We start from the raw sequence: 24,198 nt of genomic DNA, 5'->3' as shown, positions 1-24,198 counted from the left end.
ACAGTATTATAGGCATATGGAAGAATAATATTCCTCTTTTTTATTTTTTTAATTTTAATTTTTATTTATTTTTCTCTTTTTGAGATACAGTCTCGCTCTGTCGCCCAGGCTGGAGTGCAGTGGTGCGATCTCGGCTCACTGCAACCTCCACCTCCCAGGTTCAAGCGATTCTTCTGCCTCAGCCTCCCAACTGAGAGCTGTAGCTGGGACTACAGGCACGCGCCACCACGCCCGGCTACAAAGTGGCTAATTTTATCTTATGTATATATCACTTCATTTAAAAAAAAAAAATCCTACAAACTGAGTGGAGAATGCTCAAAGAGAATCTCTTAGGCAGGGGCCTTGGCCCCTTAAGCTGGCTGTCAGGAGGTCTTCAGGAGAGAAAGCTACTGATTTATAACAAAGGGATTCATTTATCATTTCACTCATTCCAAAAATATTTACTGAGCAGCAACAGCTACTGGGGCAGACCCTGTAATCCATGTTAAGGAAGCAAAGAAACAGTCCCTATACTCAATGACCTTCCAGTTTCATTTTCAAACGAAAGTCCAAGGAGGTCGTTTCCATTTTACAACGAATAGTTATAACCATTTTTTAGCTTGAACTACGAACAGGGCGCTTTACATGTGCTAAGTCATTTAATGGCATTAAATGCCCCTCCTGGGAGAGCCCTAGGATGGGCTCATATAAGGATTCCCATATATAGATGAAGAAACTGAGGCAGGGGGAGGTTAAAGACCTTGCCTCACACTGCTGGAAGGGGTAGAGCCACAATTTGTATCCAGGCAAATCCAGTCCATGCTCCTGGCCGTGGCACTATGCAGTCAGGTATCCAAGGGCACACCCTGGGACTCAGGCGTGTCTGATTCCAAATCCTATGCAGGTGCCATTAAACCATGCTGCCTCTACTAAGAACTCCAGAAGCTTGTCTTGAAAGTTGAAGGGAAGGGGCAGGGGAGACTCGCCCACTCCACAGCCAGTCTTGGAAGGAGGAAACTGAGATAAAGTGAAGTTTTAAAGCGGAGAGGAAAATGTGCCCAGTCCCCCTGGCCTAATGTAAGGGAGGACAGAAAAATGAATTTGGTTTGGGCATGAGAAGAGACCTTGAGGCTTAACCATCCAAAGACAGGTGTGGGACACCCACACGCGCACACACACACTAAAAACACACATGCATGCACACACACACACACATCTTCAAATACAGCTCAATGTGAACGGAGGAAAGTACTAACTGGGCCTGGGGAAGGCCTCTTGAAATCAGATGACACAACACTGGAATGATCTATTCAGGGAAGCCAGTTTTTCAAGGTTTTTATACCCTAAAAACCATCTAGAGAAAAACCAGGCACCTGAATGCCTGGGGGGTTTTCCTCGGAGACCTGCCTGAAACAGAAGTTTCCTGGAGCGAGCGGTGCTGGGATTCTAGGAATGTATGCTTTTGGAAAGAAGAGTTTCTGCTGGCCGGGCGCAGTGGCTCACACCTGTAATCCCAGCACTTTGGGAGGCCAAGGCAGGCGGATCACCTGAGGTTGGGAGTTCGAGACCAGCCTGACCAACATGGAGAAACCCCGTCTCTACTAAAAATACAAAATTAGCCGGGCGTGGTGGCACATGCCTGTAGTCTCAGCTACTCGGGAGGCTGAGGCAGGAGAATCACTGGAATCCAGGGGACAGAGGTCGCGGTGAGCTGAGACCGTGCCATTGCCCTCCAGCCTGGGCAACAAGAGCGAAACTCCACCTCAAAACAATAAATAAATAAATAAATAAATAGAAGCGTTTCTGCTTAGCTTCCTAATCTCCAGGTGCCTGTTCAGGGTCATGATCATCCAGACAGCACCTTGTTTCTGGAAACCTTCCTCCTTCGCCTTCCAGGAGACCTGTCTTCATCCTCCTTTGGCCTCCCTGATGGCTGCTGTTCTCCCTCCACTGTGGGCCTGTCTTCTTTTGTCCACATCTAAGATGTTGGAATGTGCCCAGGCTCCCTCCCCAGCCCTCTTTTTACTTCTAGTCCACTCACACACTCTGGGAAGTCTCAGACAGCCCCACTCTCTAAACTAATGCCTAAAAGCTGATGATCTCCAAATCCGTATTTCCAGTTCAGACTTCATGTGGGGACCACCTTCGCTCCCCTCCCCTCCCGAACATCTCTTCTTGGCACCTTAAACGCAATAATCCAGGGCTGCCCTCAGTGTTTCCCCTCCAAAATTGCTCCCATCTGCCATCTGGGGAGCAGTGCCACCACCATCCACCCCACATCCCAGCAGAGAACCCATCAGGGCTGCCTAGACGCTTCACTCCCGCTCATTCTCCATGTCAGGTGGTCACCAAGTTCTATCAAGTCTCCCAGATCTGTCCTCCCTCTCTTCCACCCACTATCACGGCCTCCATAGAGGTCCTTAGGAGCTAGAGTCAAGGTTATTACAGGAGCCTGATCTTCCTGTCACCTCAGGTCACCCTCCACACTAGTACAAATATTTTTCTTTCTTTTTCTTATTTATTTGTTTATTTATTTATTTATTTGAGACAGAGTCTCATTCTGTTGCCCAGGCTAGAGTGCAGTGATGTTGCAATCTCAGCTCACTGCAACCTCCACCTCCTGGGTTCAAGTGATTATCCTACCTCAGCCTCCTGAGTACCTAAGATTATAGATGCACGCCACCATGCTCAGCTAATTTTTATACTTTTAATAGAAACGGGATTTTGCCATGTTGGCAAGGCTGGTCTCAAATTCCTGGCCTCAAGTGATCCTCCCGCCCTGGCCTCCCAAAGTGCTGGGATTACAGGCATGAGCCACTGTGCCCAACCCAAATGTTTTTCCATAATGCGAATTTGATCACACTAATCCCTTACTGAAAAACATGATCTTGGCCAGGTGTGGTGGTTCACGCCTGTAATCCCAGCATTTTGGGAGGCCAAGGTGGGTGGATCACTTTAGGTCAGGAGTTCAAGACCAGCCTGGCCAACATAGTGAAACCCTGTCCCTACTAAAAATACAAAAATGAGCCAGGTGTGGTGGCGGGTGTCTGTAGTCCCAGCTACTCAGGAGACTGAGGCAGGAGAACCGCTTGAATCTGGGAGAAGGAGGTTGCAGTGAGCTGAGATCGTGCCACTGCACTGCAGCCTGGGCGACAGAGTGAGAGTCTGTCTAAAAAAAAAGAAAGAAAAGAAAAGAAAGAAGACCAGGCACGGTGGCTGACACCTGTAATCCCAGCACTTTGGGAGGCCGAGGCAGGCAGATCACCTGAGGTCAGGAGATCAAGACCATCCTGGCCAACGTAGTGAAACCCCGTCTCTACTAAAAATACAAAAATTAGCCAGGTGTGGTGGTGGGTGTCTGTAGTCCCAGCTACTTGGGAGGCTGAGGCAGAAGAATCGCTTGAAACTGGGAGGCAGAGGTTGCAGTGAGCTCAGATAGCACCACTGCACTCCAGCCTGGGTGGCAGAGTGAGACTCCATCTCAAAAACAGAAAAGAAAAACACGATATTGCTCTTCTTGCTTCTCTGGGCTTATCTGCTGCCCCGATGCCTGCACCTCCTTTGCTTCCAACACACCACATTACTCCCATGCATCTGTGCCTTCGCACACGCTGTTCTCCCCACTGGGAATGTCTCTCCCCACTATCCTACCTTCCATTCATTGGCAAATCCCAGCTGTCTTCAAGGCCTAGTTCAAATGTTCCAATGTTAGCACCTCGATGACATCCTCCCTGATCTCTCCTCCTGCAACCTATCTGCCACGCCCCAATACCCGCACAGAAGCGGGGTCTCCCTTCTCCATGTAATTATATACCATTTGACATATATCTTTTTTTTTTTTTTTTTGAGATGGAGTCTCGCTCTGTTGCCCAGGCTGGAGGGCAGTGGCATGATCTCGGCTCACTGCAAGCTCCGCCTCCTGGGTTCACGCCATTCTCCTGTCTCAGCCTCCCGAGTAGCTGGGACTACAGGCGCCCGCCACTACGCCCGGCTAATTTTTTTGTATTTTTAGTAGAGACGAGGTTTCTCCGTGTTAGCCAGGATGGTCTCAATCTCCGGACCTTGCGATCCACCCGTCTCGGCCTCCCAAAGTGCTGGGATTACAGGCATGAGCCACCTGGCCGACATATCTCTTATAACACTCAACTACAACAGTGATAATTGCTTGAGTCCAGGAGTTCGAGACCCAGCCTGGGCAATATAGGGAGACTCCCGTCTCTACAAAATATTTAAAAATTAGCCAGGTGTGGTGATACATACCTGTAGTCCCAGCTACTTGGGGGGCTGAGGCGGGAGGATGGCTTAAGCCCAGGAGTTAGAGGCTGCAGTGAATCATGATCGCACCACTGCACTCCAACCTGGGTGACAGAGTGAGACCCTGTCTCAACAAATAAATAAATAAATAATAAAGGCCACTAATGCTTTGACATGCCTCCCATTGAGAGGTGGGGTCTATGTCCCCTCCCCTTGAATCTGCATGGGTTCTGTGACTGCAGTGACCAACAGAATAATGTGGCAGTGAGTGACCCTACATGCCAGTTTCTGGGCTCAGGCCTTACAAGACTGGCAGCTTCTACCTCCTGTCTGGAAACACTCTGTGAGCCGCCATATAAGAAGCTGAACCACCCAGAGACCATCACGTTGCAGAGGCCGTCTGTAGGTCCTCTGGCCGGTGACTCCAGCTCAGACCTTCCCCGTGGAGATGTCCGCCATAGGAGCAAGGCCATCTCAGACCTCCCAGCCTGACCATCTGCTTGCTACACTCCACGAGGCGACCTTAGTCAACGCCCAGTACTAAAGAATTGCCCAACCAAGGAGTGCCTGAATTCCTCACCGCAAAGATCATGGGCTCTAAGAAAATGGTTGTTGCTTGAACCTAAGGTTAGGGCTGGCTTGTTACTCAGCAATACACAGCCAGAAGAATGTCTGTGTCTCTCATAAGATAAGGTTTGGTTCACTATGAAGTCTCCAGCACAGCAAAGAATAAATGGGGTGCTACCAAATGTGTGCTGATTGGGTGACGCCACTGTCCTCTTTGCTTTCGTACCACATAACAAGGCTTGCTAAAGAGACCTGGGCCTCAGTCCCAGAAGATGGGTTCATTCCCTGATGCTGTTTTTCAAGGTGACAAACAGCAATGGACATCATCAGAGAGCAGTGAAATTGCACTGTGAGATCCCAGTCCTGTCCATCTGGAAGCCTGGCCTGGCCTTGAAACCAAATCTTAGAAGCAGGCCATTGATCCCTCTTTCTGCCAGAATGAGGGAAGGGAAGGTGTGTGCGCCAACATATGCACTGACAGGTTGGGTGAGGTCCTCCCTCCAGAACCTCAGGGAGCTCCTGGCGCCACCCCGGCCAGCTCTTCCTTCCTGAACCATCAGTCTCCTGGAGGCTAGAAGAAACACTGCAGGCTTTCTTCCCTCCATCACTGGGGGCCTTGGGTAAAATTCCCTAGGCACAGGTTTCTTTCAAAGCGTCCCTGGCAGCCACACGTATTGGGACCACCAGGACCCAACTTCTGAGCCCAGGATGTGGATGTGGCTGGTAGCTAGTAACTGCTACCCTTTGATGTCCAAATCGAGTTCTAGCTATTGCTCACAACTTTGCTCCCCAAATATTCATCTCTACCCAGCTTTTTCTGTTCCCTTCCTCCTGAGACTGAAGCACAAGGATCCTCTTGGCTCACACTCCTAAACATTCCTTATAACAACTCTTATTACTCTTTTATTATTATTATTATTATTATTATTATTATTATTATTATTATTTTTGAGACAGAGTTTTGCCCTTGTTGCCCAGGCTGGAGTGCAATGGCACGATCTCGGCTCACTGCAACCTCCACCTCCCGAGTTCAAGCGATTCTCCTGCCTCAGCCTCCCAAGTAGCTGGGATTACAGGCGTACACCACCATGCTCGGCTAATTTTGTATTTTTAGTAGAGATGGGGTTTTGCCACTGTTGGCCAGGCTGGTCTCGAACTCCTGACCTCAGGTGATCCGCCCGCCTTGGCCTCCCAAAGTGCTAGGATTACAGGCGTGAGCCACCACGCCCGGCCTCTTATTACTCTTTTATTTTTTTTGAGACGGAGTCTCGCTCTGTCGCCCAGGCTGGAGTGCAGTGGCGCGATCTCCCTTCGCTGCAAGCTCTGCCTCCCACGTTCACGCCATTCTCCTACCTCAGCCTCTCGAGTAGCTGGGACTACAGGTGTCTGCCCCCATGCCTGGCTAATTTTTTGTTGTTGTTGTTGTATTTTTAGTAGAGACGGGGTTTCACCATGTTAGCCAGGATGGTCTCAATCTCCTGACCTCATGATCCACCCACCTCAGCCTCCCAAAATGCTGGGATTACAGGCGTGAGCCACTGGGCCCAGCCCTCTTATTACTCTTATAGCTGACATTTATGCAACACTTACTATAATCCAGGCACTTTTCCAAGCACTTCACATACATTAAGTCATAAGCTTCTGTTGCCCCTGGCTTCATTTTGGTCAGAATTTGTAGCTCTGTACAAGCTGGCCCAAGCTTACTGGTGTTGTCTCTTTATCCACCACAGCATAACCAGCTTCAAAATTCATGGAACCCAGTAAAATATGAAAATGCAGGGTCAGGTGTTGCAGGAAGTCAGGGACCCCGAACGGAGGGACTGGCTGAAGCCATGGCAGAAGAACATAAATTGTGAAGATTTCATGGACATTTATTAAGTTCTCCAAATTAATACTTTTATAATTTCTTATGTCTGTCTTTACTGCAATCTCTGAACATAAATTGTGATGATTTCATGGACATTTATTAGTTCCCCAAAATTATACTTTTATAATTTCTTATGCCTGTCTTTACTGCAATCTCTTAACATCAATTGTGAAGATTTCATGGACACTTATCACTTCCCCAATCAATACTCTTGTGATTTCCTATGCCTGCCTTTAATCTCTTAATCCTGTCATCTTTGTAAGCTGAGGATGAATGTCGCCTCAGGACCCTGTGATGATTGCATTAACTGCACAAATTGTTTAAACAATATGAAATCTGGGCATCTTGAAAAAAACAGGGTAACAGCGATGTTCAGGGAACAAAGGAGATAACCTTAAAGTCTGGCTGCCTGTGGGCTGGGCGGAACAGAGCTATATTTCTCTTCTTTCAAAAGCAAATAGGAGAAATATCGCTGAATTCTTTTTCTCAGCAAGGAACATCCCTGAGAAGCAGAATGCGTTCCCAAGGGGAGGTCTCTAAAATGGCCACTTTGGGAATGTCTGTCTTTCACGGTTGTACATAAAGGATGAAATAATCCCCGGTCGCCCGTAGTGCTCCCAGGCTTATTAGGACGAGGAAATTCCCACCTAATAAATTTTGGTCAGACCGGTTGTCTGCTCTCAAACCCTGTCTCCTAATAAGATGTTATCAATGACAATGCATGTCGGAAACTTCATTAGCAATTCTAATTTTGCCTCGGTCCTGTGATCTCGCCCTGCCTCCATTTGCCTTGTAATATTCTATTACCTCGTGAAGCATGTGATCTCTGTGACCCACACCCTATTCGTACACTCCCTCCCCAAGCTTGCTGGTTTTGTGGCTTGGGGGCATCACGGAACCTGCCAACATGTGATGTCTCCCCCGGACACCCAGCTTTAAAATTTCTCTGTTTTGTACTCTTTCCCTTTATTTCTCAGACTGGCTGACACTTAGGGAAAATAGAAAAGGACGCACGTGAAATATCAGGGGCTGAGTTTCCCCCAATAGTCAGGCCAGGCACAGTGGCTCATGCCTGTAATCCTAGCACTTTGGGAAGCCGAGGTAGGCGGATTGTCTGAGCTCAGGAGTTCAAGACCAGCCTGAGCAACACAGTGAAACCTTGCCTTTGCACCAGGCGCAGTGGCTCACGCCTGTAATCCCAGCACTTTGGGAGGCCAAGGCGGGCAGATCATGAGGTCAGGAGATCAAGACCATCCTGGCTAACACGGTGAAACCCCGTCTCTACTAAAAATACGAAAAATTAGCCAGGCAAGCTGGTGGGCGCCTGTAGTCCCAGCTACTCCAGAGGCTGAGGCAGGAGAATGGCATGAACCCAGGAGCTTTCAGTGAGCCGAGATTGTGCCACTACACTCCAGTCTGGGTGACAGAGCAAGACTCTGTCTCAAAAAAAGAAAGAAAGAAAGAAAGAAAGAAAGAAACAAAGAAAGAAAGAAAGAAAGAAAGAAAGAAAGAAAGAAAGAAAGAAAGAAAGAAACCCTGTCTTTGCTAAAATACAAAAAATTAGCTGGATGTGGTGGTGGGCGCCTATAGTCCCAGCTACTCGGGAGGCTGAGACACGAGAATTGCTTGAACCCAGGAGGCAGATGTTGCAGTGAGCTGAGATCATGCCACTGCACTCCAGCCTGGGTGACAGAGTAACACTCTGTCCCCGCCCACCACCTCCCCCCCCCCCCGCAAAAAAAAAGAAATAAAGAAAAGTAAAGAAAAGAAAAAGGTAAAGAAAATGCAGCGTCCCTGGTTCAAGAATCACTAAAAATTTTAAGACAGAGACAGCAAAGCCTGCAACCAAGCACAGGGTCTAAGTGTGCAACTGCCCAGGCCACAGTGCCCCTAAAGCTAGCCCTCCACAATGCCATCAGCCTTGTCTTAAATCTCTCAGCCCAATGGGCTTCCCAGGCCAGGAGAAAACTGCTTGTTGGTCTCAGGGCCCCAGACAGCGCTCCCATGTGGCATGTGGTTGCTTCCTTTGCCAGTTTCTGCAAGTTTATCTGGGCTTTCTTTAGATTTTTCCCTACATACCAGCTATTCCTATACCAATCTTCCCTCTCAGTAAATAGCACCCCCCACCCTGTCACTCAAGTCACAGTCATCTGAGGTTTCTCTCATTCCCTCCTGCCTCTCCACAGCTAAATTATTAGCATGTCCTATCAACTCAACTTCCAAATATATCCAGAATCTATCCATTTCTCTCCATCTATCTGCTCATGTCCTGGTCCAAGCTACCACCACCTTGTACCCAGATCCTAGGGCCATCATGTCAAACAACCCAAGGGCCACCATTCACACCACAGTCCAGAGGTGAGCAATATACAGTCTCCCCAGCTATAAGTGGCAGCCCTACTTACTCCCCACTTCCAATTCCTGTCTCCAATTCCCCCTCCCCTCATTTTCCATGGTGCATCCAAAGTCATCTTTAAACTTTTTCTTTTTCTTTTTTTTTTTGAGATGGAGCCTCACTCTGCCACCCAGGCTGGAGTGCAGTGGCTCGATCTCAGCTCACTACAACCTCCACTTCCAGGGTTCAAGTGGTTCTCCTGCCTCAGCCTCCCAAGTAGCTGGGATTACAGGCACATGCCACCACACCCAGCTAATTTTTGTATTTTTAATAGAGACAGGGTTTCACCATGTTAGCCAGGCTGGTCTCGAACCCCCAACCTCAGGTGATCCACCCGTCTTGGCTTCCCAAAGTGCTGGGATTTCAGGAGTGAGCCACCACACCCAGCGTCTTTGAAAATGATTATCACCTAGCATGAGTACATACAGCCCAGGATAGCTTGAATGCGGCCCAACACAAATTCATAAACTTTCTTAAAACATTGATTTTTTTGTGATTTTTTTTAGCTTATCAGTTATCGTTAATGTTAGAGTATTTTATATGTGGCCCAAGACAATTCTTCTTCCAACATGGCCCAGGGAAGCCAAAAGATTAGACACCCCTGCGATTAGTCCCTGGCTGGAAACCCTTTCATGGGTTCTTATTGCAGTCAAAGCAAATTCGAAGTCAGCACGGTCTACAGGCCCTCCATCACAGCCTCCCAGCAGGGGAGCTGGAGCACAGTTAGGCCCAAATGAACCAAAAGTTTTCTTAGACTGTGCTCATCTCAGCCCCTGGGGCAGCCAGTGGGGCCTGGGGCAACTCGAGGCACCAGAGCTGTCCAATGTGGGCTCTGTCTGTTACCCGCCCAGCTCCACGGAAAGCAGTCCCCTTACAGCACAATGTGGAGACAGCCCTCCACTGCCAGCCTCAGTGGAGGTCCTTGGAAAGGGGCACAAATATCACTAATTTCCAGATGTGACATGACACGGGAAAGGTGGGAACTCACCACCCCAGTGATCTGGACCCTGTGTGGCATCAAACCCCTCCTCCCCAAGCTCTCTCCCGTCCAGCCAGACAAGGTGAGTTGCTTTTTCTAGAACACCCCCAGCTGGTTCTGGCCTCAGGCCCTTTTCTTGTTCCCTCTGTCCTAATCACTCTGCTCTGGTCTCCACATGGCTGGCCCCTCTTGGTCAGCTGGACTTCAGCTCTCATTTCACCTCCTGGGGAGGTCTCCCTGACCCGGCTACACCCGCAGCAGCACTGTTCGAGTTTGTCCCTAACCCTTATCATATCTGACTTTATCTTGTTCAGGGATTTGTCTTTTTGCTGCTGCTGGCTCCCTTATCCAGATTAGAGTTCCACAAGAGCAGAGGTATGTCTGCCTAGTCTCATCACTGCCCTGGGGTGTAATTCCAGACCTCAAGAATGCTGTTTTTCCACCATCAGCAGCTCAGGTCCTGCACTCTACCTCGTAAGACCTGTTTCTTCCAGTCTGGTGGGAAAGCCATAGCCTGCATCGACACTGGCTTCCTCAGCTGGGTTCTCTGCAGGTCCCATGACTTCATCCCTCCAGCATCTAGGCATGTAGACCTGAAGACACCACTGGACATCCCTCCCTTTGTTCATCTCTCTGCCTCCAAACAGACACATGCGTATCACCTGCCATCTCAAACCTTTCACCTACAAGCTCCTGGTCTAGTTCAACCAACCACGACAGAGCTAGCTGGGGAGCTACAGCCCTTTCCATCAACGAGTTTATACTCTAGCAGAACTGTCATATGTGGATAATAAGAGAAAATAAGATGAGCCCTATCTGAGAAATACAAAGAAAATGCTATGGGAGGCAGAGTGATAAGAAAATTAAAGGCACGGAAAGACAAGCCTGGGTCCAAATACGACCCCAACTCTGTCTAGTGTGAGACTAGACAGGTAACTCAATCTAAGCCTCAGTTATCTTCTTCTGCAAAATGGGCATAATCAGACCTATCTCATCAAGTTATTTGAAGAATTCCATAAGGTGATGTACATAAAGTAATTAGCAAAGCATCCAGCACAGAGTAGGTTTTTAAAATTCATGGCAGGCAACATGATGACTGCCATCACCAGCTAAATGGGAGAAAGAGAACATTTCAGTGTGTGGAGGGGCAATAAGTGAGCGGGATGTGAGTGGATGGAACTCTGGGGGTGAGTGGCATTTCGATGCTGCTGCTGCTATCCTGGTATCATGTACACTGCCACACGTATGTCACATGTCAACTCAGACTCAACATGCACTGAACCAAGCTCAGCATTCTCCCTCCAAAAGCTGTGACCACCCCCTCCTGGTCAAGCAGTGGCACTGAGGCAGTAGAGACCAAGGCATTATCTTCAAGTCTCTCTGCCACTTCCTGCATCCTTCAGATCCTCCTCATTCCCAATGACGCCACCCAGGATCAAAATGATGGTTGTCCCTCACCCGAAGCACTCTCTCTAACCCATGGTAGCACGCTGATTGGTCATGCCATTTTGTAGCCCCAAGTCTCAGCCACCATAACCCGTCATGCTCTGGCTCAACCTACCTATCAGCCTCTGAGCCATGGCTGCTTGCTGTGGGTTGGGCTGCGTCCCCCCAAAAGATATGTTGAAGTCCTGAGCCCTCTACCTTAGAATGTGAATGTAATTAGAAAAAGGGTGATTGCAGAGGTAATTTTAAGTTAAGATGAGATTATACCGAAGTAGAGTGGGTCTTGATGCAATGTAACTGTTGTCCTTATTTTAGAAGAGCAGAGAGACACAGAGAAGAGAATGCTGCGAAGACACAGAGACACACAGAGGGAAGATGGCCATGTGAAGAAGAGGCAGAGATGAAAATGATGCCAGCACAAGCCAAGGAATGCCTGGAGCTACCAAAAGCTGGAAGAGGAAAGGAAGGAACTTCTCCTAGCGCTGTGGAGGGAGTGTGGCTCTGCCAACACCTTGATCTTGAACTTCTAGACTCCAGCATTGTAAGATAATATATTTTGGTGGTTGTAAGCTACTCAATTTGTGGTACTGTGTTACAGCAGGCCTCAAAACGAGTACACCTCCCTGCGTGTCTCCAGGGTCCAGCTCAACAGTATTCTTTTTCCTGGAACATCTGGAATCCCTCCCTCCCCCACGCCCCACTCAACTCTCCAGCTCAACATGTTAACTCTGTTGTATCTCTGCTAAATAATGCATTACCCTCTTCTTGCCCTTCCAAACTCCTACTTGTCCTTCAGAACCTACTATTATCACAAAGTCTTTCCTTACCCTCCAGGAGGATAAGCCCTGACTTTGACTTCGGAAGCACGTGAAACTGTCTTGCAGCCTTTTCATGTCTAATGTAGACATCTGCCTGTTGTCTGAGCACTGACTATTGCTACCATCAGTTGTGTTTTGCTGTAGAGCATCCACTCTTTCTCTGGCCACTCCTTCCACATGACTCATGGGGCTGCTGACGACTGTTGCTTGATGCACAACCACCCACCCCAACCCACCACAAGAAGTATTAGTTTCCAGGTGTGACACAACACGGGAAAGGTGGGAACTTGCCACCTCAGTGATCTGGACCCCGTTTGGCATCAACTCCCCTCCTCCCCAAGCTCTCTCCCCTCCAGCCAGACAAGGTGAGTTGCTTTTACTTTCTGCTTTTTTTGTTTGTTTGTTTTTTAGACGGAGTTTCGCTCTTGTCACCCAGGCTGGAGTGCAATGGCACGATCTCGGCTGACCACAACCTCCGCCTCCCAGGTTCAAGAGATTCTTCTGCCTCAGCCTCCCAAGTAGCTGGGACTATAGGCATGGGCCACCACGCCTGGCTAATTTTTGTATTTAGAGTAGAGACGGAGTTTCACCATCTTGGCCAGGCTGGTCTCAAACTCCTGACCTCAAGATCCATCCACCTGGGCCTCCAAAAGTGCTGGAATTACAGGTGTGAGCCACCGCGCCAGGCTGAGTTGTTTTTTCTAGAACACTTCCAGCTGGCTCTGGCCTCAGGCCCTTTTTGTGTTCCCTCTGTCCTGATCACTCTGCTCTGGTCTCCACAGGGCTGGCCCCTCCTGGTCAGCTGGGCTTCAGCTCTCATTTCGCCTCCTGGGGAGATCTCCCTGACCCGGCTACACCTGCAGCAGCACTGTTCGAGTTTGTCCCTAACCCTTATCATATCTGACTTTATCTTGTTCAGGGATTTGTCTTCTTGCTGCTGCTGGCTCCCTTATCTAGGTTAGAGTTCCACAAGAGCAGAGGTATGTCTGCCTAGTCTTGTCACTGCCCTAGGGTATAATTCCAGACCTCAGGAACGCTGTTTCTCCACCAACAGCAGCTCGGGTCCTGCACTCTACCTGGTGAGACCTAATGATAGTTTCCCATGTAATGTCCCACCTGGATACTAATGCAGTGTGGGACTCCACTGCATGCTAATCAAACTAGCACAAGCTTCTGTCCTTGGTGAACTGGCCCATGACCCATGAGCCAAGCAGGGCTATTGTGAATTTAAACTTGGAATTTTCTGAACCAGAGAATGAGAAATAGCTCTTTTCTCCCCCTCTGGAATATCAAGCTATAAGCAGGCAACCCCAGAAGGGTAAGGGCTTCCTTGACTATCACATGGAGGAACTTGAAAGAATGGGCCAACTGGCTCAGAAGCACAGAGGAAAAAATGGAGGCTCTCAGGGGCTTAGTTCAAGAGCCCCACCTGTGCCTCTTTTGTGTTTAGGTTGATTGAGTTGGGTTTCCGTCACTTACAACCAGAGAGTCCTGGCTATTATACTGTAGGTCAGCTATCCCCCACCTTCCTGGTACCAGGGACCAGTTTCATGGAAGACAGTTTTTCCACAGACAGGGGTTGGGAGGGATGGTTTCGAGATGATTCAAATGCATTACATTTATTGTGCACTTTATTTCTATTATTATTATATTGTAATATATAATGAAATAATTACACAACTCACCATAATGTAGAACAAGTGGGAGCCCTGAGCTTGTTTTCCTGCAACTAGATGGTCCCATCTGGGGGTGATGGGAGCCACTGACAGATCATCAGGCATTAGATTCTTATAAGGAACATGCAACCTAGATCCCTCACATGGGCAGTTCACAATAGGGCTCGCACTCCTGTGAGAATCTAATGCCGCTGTTGATCTGACAGGAGGCGGAGCTCAGGCGGTAATGCAAGCGATGAGGAGTGGCTGTAAATACAGATGAAGCTTCACTCACATGCCGCTCACCTCCTGCTGTAGGGCCCAGCTCCTAACAAGTCATGGACTGGTACAGTGGCCTGGGGGTTGAGAACCCCTGCTGTAGGTGATCCAGGATATATCAATGAACAAGACAAATCCCTGCCCTCAAGCTGCTCACTGGTCAGTGAGGGAGGTGGATAATTTCATTATGTAAGAGGATTTGGGAAACATGAAGCACAGGATGTTCTCAAAGGGCACCAAGTGTGTATACCTGTGTGTTGGGAAAGCATTTCCCAAAAGAAGTTAAGTGTAAGCTGAGACCTAAGGTATAAATAGGCATTAGCGTTGTCTTATAGTAACAAAAATATCTAACACGTACCAAGTGGCTACTACTCTACTCATGTTACACATATTTCTAACTTTTAAAACACTCTGTAAAACAGGCATCCAAATTCCCATTCTACAGAGAAGGAAGCTGAGGCAGAGAGAGTTTAAATAGCTTTCCAAGACTACATAGCTGGTATGAGCTCAGTGCATCTTATGCCAAGGCCTGTCTCATCACGGTGCCATATTGAAGACTGCAGACCCCTACAGGGAGGAAATGGCAAAGCCAGAATTTGAACCCAGGCCTTTCCAACCCAAATTCCTATGCCCTTTCCACTACAGCCACGCGAGGGAAGGTTGTCTGGAGCTGGGCCGGTCCGCAGGAGGTATCGTATTAACTAGGTCATCGTGTTACAGGAGCCAGTCTTTGGCTGGGAAGGTCCTGAGAGTCATGCTTGGTGGTGCCAGCCCCGAGAGCCTGACTCACATCCACACAAACCATGTGAGCCCAAGAAAGAGGCAGGAATGCCCACGACCCATCTGACTTCCAAGGATGGGTACAGGAACCAGAATGTCAGCGTGGTCAACATGTTTTCTTCCTGTGCACAAGCTACACAGGAAATCAGAATCTGAAGTTTGCCTTAGTGAGTGTGGACTTCGTTAATGCTAAGAGAATTCAAATGGAGCATCAAAAAAGTCCTTTACTTTGTGAAGCTTGAGGGCCTTTTCTCTACTGTAGATTAACTTTTTTTTTTTTTTTTTTTTTGATGGAGTTTTGCTCTGTTAACCAGGCTGGAGTGCAGTGGCATGATCTCAGCTCACTGCAACCTCCACTTCCCAGTTTCAAGCAATTCTCCTGCCTCAGCCTCCCAAATAGCTGGGATTACAGGCACCCGCCACCACACCTGGCTAATTTTTGTATTTTTACTAGAGATGGGGTTTCGCCATGTTGGCCAGGCTGGTCTCGAACTCCTGACCTCAGGTGATCCACCCGCTTCGGCCTCCCAAAGTGTTGGGATTACAGGCATGAGCTACAGCACCCAGCCTGTGGATTGATCTTTGACAGTGGGTCTGGGATACTCAAAGGCTGTTGAGCCACCATTTCCTCTTGCCTGGTTCCATGGACTGAATGTTTGTGTCCCTCCGAAATTCATATGTGGAAACCCGAATCCCCAGTGTGTCCATATGTGGACATGGGCCCTTTAGGTGGTAATTAGATTTAGATAAGGTTATGAGGGTTCCATCAGCTTCCATGATGAGATAAGTGCATTTGTGAAAAGAGGACTTGGCTGGGAGTGGTGCCTCATACCTATAATCCCAGCATTTTGGGAAGGTGAAGTGGAAGGACTGCTTGAGCCCAGGAGTTCAAAATCAGCCTCGGCAACATAGCAAGAGCCCATCTTTACAATAATAATGATTAATTAATTAATAAGAGGGTTCTTTCTCTCTCTCTCATTAAGTATGTCTATGGCTTTGGGGTAAAGTCAAGTTAATTTGAGTCCTTTTCCTAGTTTTCATTGACTTCTCAGACCTAGAATTTATAAATTAGAGTCTGCAGTGACTCAAACTATCTGAACTTCATTTTACTCATATGTAAGTGAGGATAATAATGCTAATCTTATAAAATCCCTGCAAGGATCAAATGAGAGAATTTATAAGTCACACTGATAGGATATGGCACCAACTAGATGTTAATTCGAAATCTGTTCACTCCAAAAAAAAAATAACCAGTTCTCCTCCCAGACCCTCCATGTCTTCCAATAATTAGGATGATAACATCAGAGAGAGAGAGAGAGAGAGCCCTCTCTTATTAATTTATTATTATTGTAGAGATGGGGTCTTGCTATGTTGACCAGGCTGGTCTTGAACTGTATTCTCCTTGTGAGAATACAGCAAGAAGGGGGCCGTCTGCAAGCCAGGAAAGAGCCCTCACCAAAACCTGACCATGCTAGTACCCTGATGTTGGACTTTAGCCTCCAGAACTGTGAGAAATAAACATTTATTGTTTAAGCCATACAGTCTGTTGTATTTGTTACAGCAACCCAAGCTGACTAATATGGCTGGTCAGTGCCAAAAACACACTGCCTGAATGTTATCCCTGCTTGCCCAATTTTAACAGTGGCCCTAAATGTAATCTCCCCGTGGGCTTGTTAACGTCCTCATCTTGGGAACAGCTATCTTAATTTCTTTTTTTTTTAATTTTTTTTTATTTTATTTTTTTGAGACGGAGTCTCACTCTATCGCCAGGCTGGAGTGCAGTGGCACAATCTTGGCGCACTGCAACCTCCGCCTCCCAGGTTCAAGCAATTCTCCTGCCTCAGCCTCCTGAGTAGCTGGGACTACAGGCACGCAACACCATGCCCAGCTAATTTTTGTATTTTTAGTAGAGATGGGGTTGGCCAGGATGGTCTCGATCTCTTGACCTTGTGATCCGCCTGCCTCAGCCTCCCAGAGTGCTGGGATTATAGGCATGAGCCACCGCGCCCGGCCAGCTATCGTACATTTCTACAGCGGGATGCAGTTTTGAGTTCCTTTGCCGGGTGTAGGTTTCATGAGATGGGGCTTAGAGTTGCAACTCCAGCCCCAAGCACAGCACCTTGGTGGGGCAGGGCTGCCCCAGCAATATCTGGTGAACAAACAAAACTTAGAGAAACTCAGGTGGTTTGATTGGAAAAAACATGTCAGTTCATTCTTCATGTAATCACTTAAGCGGATGCTTTCAGGGCTCAATTCCTTCCCCACAGTGTGTTAAAGTTCATAGCTTAACTCTCAGAAACAATCTCGTTTCCTTTATTTGCAATTCTTTGGAGACGCTGTACCCACCCCCAAAAATGCAGCTTTATGAACTGGCCTGCACGTCACCTTTTTTCCCCCTCCTGGCCACTGTCTCCATTTAGTTGGACTAATTAATAAGCAATAAAATGACCTTGTTATTTGGAAAGCTTTCTTTCCTCCCAAGTCTATCTGGGCAGGCTCAGGCCAGTTCATCATCAGGGGTCCTAATTAAAGTCTGAAAATACATTGTAAAGCAAAGCTGGAAATACAGAGCCAGACATTACAGCAGCCTGTTAACAAGAAAATCAACGCAAATTAAGACACAGCCAGACAGAAACCAAAGCAACTTGCCATTGCATAAATTATGTGTATTAGAATCAGGGAAGGCTAGCACTGGAAAGGCTGCCACAAAAGCCCCGGAGAGACATAACGTTGCAAAGTTAAGCGTGTCCAGCCTTCATTTACAAGGAATTTAAAATAGATGATGGGGTGTTCTGTGGCAACTCTGACTGGAATAAAAACTGTCCTTGTTCCATTCATAATTTAAAGGCATGGACGTGAAAATAGGTTTTTAAAATCTTTTGCTGCGGCCTTTGTGTGTAAAGGGACAGGGTTGGGAGATGGGAACTGGAAAGTAGCTGAAATAAAACTCAGAGAACCAGCTCAGCCCAGCCTCCACATTGCCTTCTGTTAAATGGGAACACAGCTGACTTATTCCTCAGAAGGTTGTCAAGTGAGATCATTGAGATCATGGATACGCAGGCCCTTTGTAAGCTACAAGCAAATGTGGCAGCAAATAGTGAACTTGGTGCCTTTCGTCTACTCATTCATTCATTAATCCATTTATACTCTTTTTCTTTTTGTTTCTTTCTCCTTTTTTTGAGATGGGGTCTTGCTATGTTGTCCAGGCTGGAGTGCAGTGACTATTTACAGGAGCAAGGATAGTGCACTGCAGCCTCAAATTCCTGGGCTCAAGCGATCCTCCTGTCTCAGCCTCCTGGGTGGCCTCCTAAGTAGCCACCGCACGTCACCACATCCAGCCTCTTGTTCTTTTCCAGAAAGGATTCCTGGCAGCTGAGCTTGGTTATGGTCCTTGGCAAATTTCTCCTTTCCTTTTCACAGTCTCATATATATATGCACATTCACATTCAAGGAAGCACACACACAAGGTATACGACAATGCGACATACACATAGGCATCTATAAGCCTCCTGAATCTGACATCTCTCTCCATTGCCACAATTCTGAGTCAAGCCATCCTGGAGATCACTGCAACGTGACCCCCGCCCTTCCAGCCACCCAGGTGGGCCATCCTGGTAAGCTGGAAAATCCCATCTCAAATTCTCAAATGTAGGTGGATGACTTCAGTCATTCAGGATCCCCACAGCTTGCAGGATCATGTCCAATCCTGTAAACATGTATATGACACACTGTACCAGATGCCCAGTCCCTCCATCCAGTCTCACACTCCCAGCCCTGCCATACTCAACTGCTAGAATGCAACACCCCCCGGAGAGTGAGGGCTTTTGGTTGTCTGGATCACAGCTGTGTTCCCAGCACCTGGGACAGTGCCCCGAGGGAGATCCTAGGAATCAGGTCTGGGTCTTTTCTCTTGCCTTCCCTTCTGCCTACAACACTCTCCTCTCCCTTCATTTTAAGTCTCAGCATTCAAGTCTTAACAGATAATCTTTACTCATGACCTCTTGACTTTGCTCTAGAGAAATGACTTTTCTCTTCCTGTAGCCCCACGGCACTATCTTTTTTTTTTTTTTAAGACGGAGTCTTGCTCTGTCACCTAGGCCAGAGTGCAGTGGCACGATCTCGGCTCACTGCAACCTCCAACTCCCAGGTTCTAAGCGATTCGCCTGTCTCAGCCTCCTGAGTAGCTAGGACTACAGGCGCACGCCATCACGCCCGACTAATTTCTTTTGCATTTTAGTAGAGATGGGATTTCACCGTGTTGCCCAGGCTGGTCTCGAACTCCTGGGCTCAGGTAGTCTGCCCACCTTGGCCTCCCAAAGTGTTTGGATTACAGGCGTCAGCCACCGCACCCAGCCACGGCACTATCTTTAACAGGATTCCTCACTGCAAGCTTTATCACCTAAAAGGTGAGAAGCCCAGCAAGGGGCCTTTCTCTTTCTTGACTGAGACCAATCTATAAGTGATATGCTAGTTCTATCCCCTAAGCTGTCAATTCAGATACATCTACCTCAGGTTATAAAAGCAAAAGGAGTAGGAGATATGGCAGGAGTCTCCACTCTCACAGCACACTACCCTCCTGCATTCTAAAGGCTGGTTTTCTTGTCTTTATTTGCCATCAGGCCATCGGTCCCTTAAGGGCAGAGCTGGCTAGGGTCTCCCAGCAGTTGTCTCACGTCCTCCTCTTCGTAGAGATTCACTGTTGAATGACTGTATTTGGGAGGCTTAAAAGAGGAACTATTAATAGCAATTGGACAGGCTACTTTGAGCTTGCAGTTGGTTAAGCAGGCTGGCACCAAGGCCCCACTGGTTAATATTTCAGTTCCTTTTCTTTTCTCTAAGATTGGCTACCATCTAGGTCATTGTGTTCCTGCCTGTCCCCATCTATCAAACAGAGCCATGAGGTAAAAACCTGAAGTCCCTTTTGTTCAGCACTTACCTGGCCCCAGTTGAAAGGTGGGCATGACATGATTTTGATTCTATTTGACCTATTTACTCAAGTGCAAAAACATAAAGTCGCCTGTCCCACCATGCCGAGAGCTTACAAAGAGAAGTCAGGATGGGACCTCCCAAAGCTGGCCTCTAGGGGATAATGGTGAAGGTCAGAGGACAAGAGGATTTCTCTCCAGTGAGGGTCCTCCCAACCCTGAATCTGAGTTACTGTCAGGGTTAGGAATACAGCTGAAAAGGAATTACATGAAAGAGGAAGCGGCCTGCTCTCCCTAATATTGGTCTTGTTTAGACTGTCCTTTCTGCCCTCGTCCCCATACTGTCCACCAGATATCAAGACCTCATCACAATCCCCTGCAGTGTGACTGCCAACCTGGTTCGCATCTTCCATTAGGTTACTGCCAAATCCCCAAGGCAGCAGGGTGGCTGAGAAAAAGAGGTCTGAGAGGTAACAGGGTGCATGAACTCTTGCAAAAAGCCAATTCTGAGAACACAAATCAAGCCAAGTGTTCAACTAAATTGACAGCTCAATTCATTGCTCACTGAGGCCCGTTTTAGAAACAGCCTCAAGTCCCTGGGAGCCCCTGACCTTCCTGTGGCAAATATTGATCTTTGATTCCGAGCTAAGCCACTGCCCGTAACTCCTAGCAGCAGCAGCATTGACTTGACTCAAAATTAAACCAGGGGTAGAGAAGGGGGAAAGCAGAGAAGAAATGAGATCAAGGCGCAAAGTTAACATATTGCAAATCAACGTACATAAGTAAACATGATTACAGTGTGCTGTCACCTGCACCTCTGAGTCAGCCTGGCAGACAGTTCAAGCAAATGGGAAGTATCTGGGCTTCGCTGCCTGTGGCCACCTCTCTCTCACGATCACTGGGCATTCTCTGTCTCTCTCCCAAGAGACCTGTGAGTCATTACTGCCCAGGAGCTCAAATCCCCATTCAGAAATCCTAGGCCATTGCCTGAATCCAGCCACCCAGCCAGGAGTCATATGCAAGGCACTTCCCAGCCTGAGAATTTTCAAGAAATAATGTCACTTGTTTATCACAGGTGAAACCAGCACTGGCTTTCCCTGGGTCTGAGATGTGCTGCCAGCAAGAACCAAACTAGTGTTGTATCATCAGGGTTATTCACCGAGCTCTCAGAGTTATCTTAACTAATTTCAGACTGCATGAAGAGCTGGAAATGATGCCAACAGAATGCATTGGTCCTCTTCTCTTTTTTAAATCATGAGCAATTCATCCTCTGTCCCCTATTGTAATGCAAGTTGCTTTCATCTCCTGTTTTACTTGATTTTTTTTTTTTTTTCCAAGACAGAGTCTCGCTCTTGTCGCCCAGTCTGGAGTGCAAAGGCACAATCTCAGCTCACTGCAACCTCCACCTCCCGGGTTCAAGAGATTCTCCTGCCTCAGCCTCCCGAGTAGCTGGGATTACAGGCACCCGCCACCACGCCCGGCTAATTTTTGTATTTTTAGTAGAGACGGGGTTTCACCACATTGGCCAGGCTGGTCTTGAACTCCTGACCTCAGGTGATCCACCGGCCTTGGCCTCCCAAAGTGCTGGGATTACAGGCATGAGCTGCTGCGCCTGGCCAATTGCTTAACATTTTTAAGTTTTAGTTGATTACTAAGTCCCTGACATTTTCATTTAAATTTCATTTCAATTATCTTCTGGCTATCTTATCATTTTTAAACTGATAAGTGTTCAACAGCACAGCCCAGCTCAGATCTACAAAGGACATTGGCAAAATGACATCCCACAAGGTCAACGGCAAAATAGGTTGGCTGCTTAACCTACTGACATGTGCGAGGGGACTTGGGGCCTTGCGGTGCATACATGAGCAATCTCTCAACACTGGGGGCCCTAAACGACAACGCCCTCTGATAAAGAGATGTTTGCTGATTTGCAGTAGCTTTGGGTTTTTCACATACAAAAAAAAAAAAACAAAACAGTTCATCATTATTTTTCATGTAGTCAATCTTTGAGCTAGCAAACCCACAAACCACATAATCGACCCCCACATGGCAGAGAGCTGATTATAACAGTAAAAACACTTCGTCTCTCTCGGCCTCAGTTTCTCCCAAAGGGATATGGTGACATGAATGCTCTTTGACCTGGGCTACTGTAAATGGGCTTAAGGCTGTGGGATTTTAGGCCATAATCCCTATTTTATCTCCATGTAAATAGAGTTTAGAAGTCTGAAAAGGGATACCAAAATATGAAGTCACCGAAAGATTCTGCTTTTCTTCCCCCAGATTCCTTTCTTCCTTTAACAAATAACGACATCATAATTGTGGTACGGATGGTGCCCTTTCTGTGCAAAAATGGGCAAATCACATCTCCTGCAACCAGGTTAAAAACAAACAAAAAACGAATCGTGTGCGCTGGCCACAAACTAAAAGGGAAATGTTACTGAGACCTTTAGGTGTTGACTTGGGGATTTGGTCTAGGAATGAGAAGAAACAAGCAGATTCTAAGAAGCCAGATGAGTCCTACAGCTCAACCTGGGGAAGGGTGAGAGTCTGGGAATAGATAGAGCAAGGTGCTTTTGGAACAGACGCTGAGAAAACAGGCCTCACCCTCCAGCCAGAGGAGGGAATTGTGACGAACAGGGGAGCAGGGCCGGTGTCATAGGGAATCATAAGAGCTAGCACCCATCAAGCACCAATACATGCCAGGGACCCTTTTGCTGCCTTATATGACCTAACTTATTTCCTCCTCACCATAGCCCTGTGATGTAGGTGCCATTATTTTCCCATTGCAGAGATAAGCATACTAAGGTCCAGCAAGGTTTAATAACTAGCACAGTGTCCCAGAGCTAGCAAGTAACAGACCAAGGCAGTCTAGTTCCAGCTCTCATGCTCGGGTCAACCCATGTGTGCACACCTAGAAGTTTAGATCCAGGAATCCAAGTACGTGAACAATTATTGTTTGAGCACCTACCATGTGCCAGGCATTGTTTTAGCCACTGAAGACATAAATAAGACAGATAAGGAGGCTGCTGTAAGGAGGCAATATTCCAGTGGGAGAGACAGGCAACAAAGAAGTAAACAAAGAAGATCATTTCAACAGTGATACAGGTCATGGAAACAGAACAGGAGAATGGGTAGGAGATGTGCATGGGGTAGGAAGGCAATGTTGGAGAGCACGGTCAGGAAAGGCCTCTCTGAGGACATGGTATTTGAGTGGAGGCCAGAAGGATGAGAAGCGATCAGCTGCTTGAAGCCTGAGGAGAGACCTCGCCAATAAGAGGCAACAGCCAGTGCAAAGGCCCTGAGGCAGGGAAAAGCATATGTTCAAGGAACAGAAACATGTGCAATGTGAGGAACATGAGGAGAGGGTTGGAGATGAAGCTGGAGTAGGCAGGATAAGATTGCAGGCACCTGAAACTGCAGCCATCACACATCCCTGGCTGGGTGAGCCTCCTGAACGATGGTTGCATCAACCATTTTGATGACTGACATCTAAATCCCATTTCTGCCTGGGTGCCACCCACGCACTTTGTAATCCCAGCACTTTGGGAGGCCGAGGCAGGTGGATCACCTGAGGTCGAGTTCAAGATCAGCCTGGCCAACATGGTGAAATGCTGTCTCTACTAAAAATACAAAAATTAGCCAGGTATGGTGGCACACACTTGTAGTCCCAGCTACTCGAGAGGTTAAGGCAGGAGAATCACTTGAACCTGGGAGGCAGAGGTTATAGTGAGCCAAGATCGCGCCACTGCACTCCAGCCTAGGCGATAGAGCAAGACTTCATCTTAAAATAAATAACTAAATACAATCCCATTTCTCAGGTTGCCTCTTATGCTTGGACAGCACAAAAATCCTTCATTAGCACCAAAGGGAGAAAAAAAATGATGAGATTCCAATCTCCTTTTTTTTTTGAGACAGGATTTCACTCCATCACCCAGGCTGGAGTGCAGTGACACGATCATAGCTCACTGTGGCCTCAACCTCCTGGGCTCAAGCAATCCTCCTGACTCCGCCTCCGGAGTAGGTAGGACCACGCCCAGCTAATTTATTGATTTTTTTGTAGAGATGAAGTCTTGCTATGTTGCCCAGGCTGCTCTCAAACTCCTGAGCTCAAGCAATCCTTCCGCCTCGATCTCCCAAAGTACTGGAATTACAGATGTGAACCACCACGCCTGGCCTCCTGCTCTTTGACAGCCATATGGGAAAGCTGGCCAAATCTTGATGGATTCTCTTTGCTGATTCCCCAGTTCTGCCCAG

At 47.6% G+C, this 24,198-nt stretch overlaps 1 protein-coding gene across 42 annotated transcripts in view, besides 1 other annotated feature; it reads right to left on the bottom strand.

Annotated features, from left to right (window-relative positions):
• The window catches only part of ARSG (arylsulfatase G), a 192,850-nt gene that overhangs the window by 112,641 nt on the left and 56,011 nt on the right, over positions 1-24,198 (bottom strand). The gene's annotated exons all lie outside the window — the stretch shown is intronic.
• Positions 20,517-20,811: a silencer, noted in NCBI's record as "tiled region #10227; K562 Repressive non-DNase unmatched - State 21:Repr". NCBI's record gives its function as "represses a minimal TATA promoter and a strong SV40 promoter by Sharpr-MPRA in K562 cells {active_cell/tissue: K562}" and the evidence as "EXISTENCE:reporter gene assay evidence [ECO:0000049][PMID:27701403]".

The sequence above is a fragment of the Homo sapiens genome, chromosome 17 (genome assembly GCF_000001405.40).
Source record: "Homo sapiens chromosome 17, GRCh38.p14 Primary Assembly".
NCBI lineage: Eukaryota > Metazoa > Chordata > Mammalia > Primates > Hominidae > Homo > Homo sapiens.
Note: the sequence above shows the minus strand (reverse complement) of the source record. Positions and strands in the feature narration are given on the sequence as shown.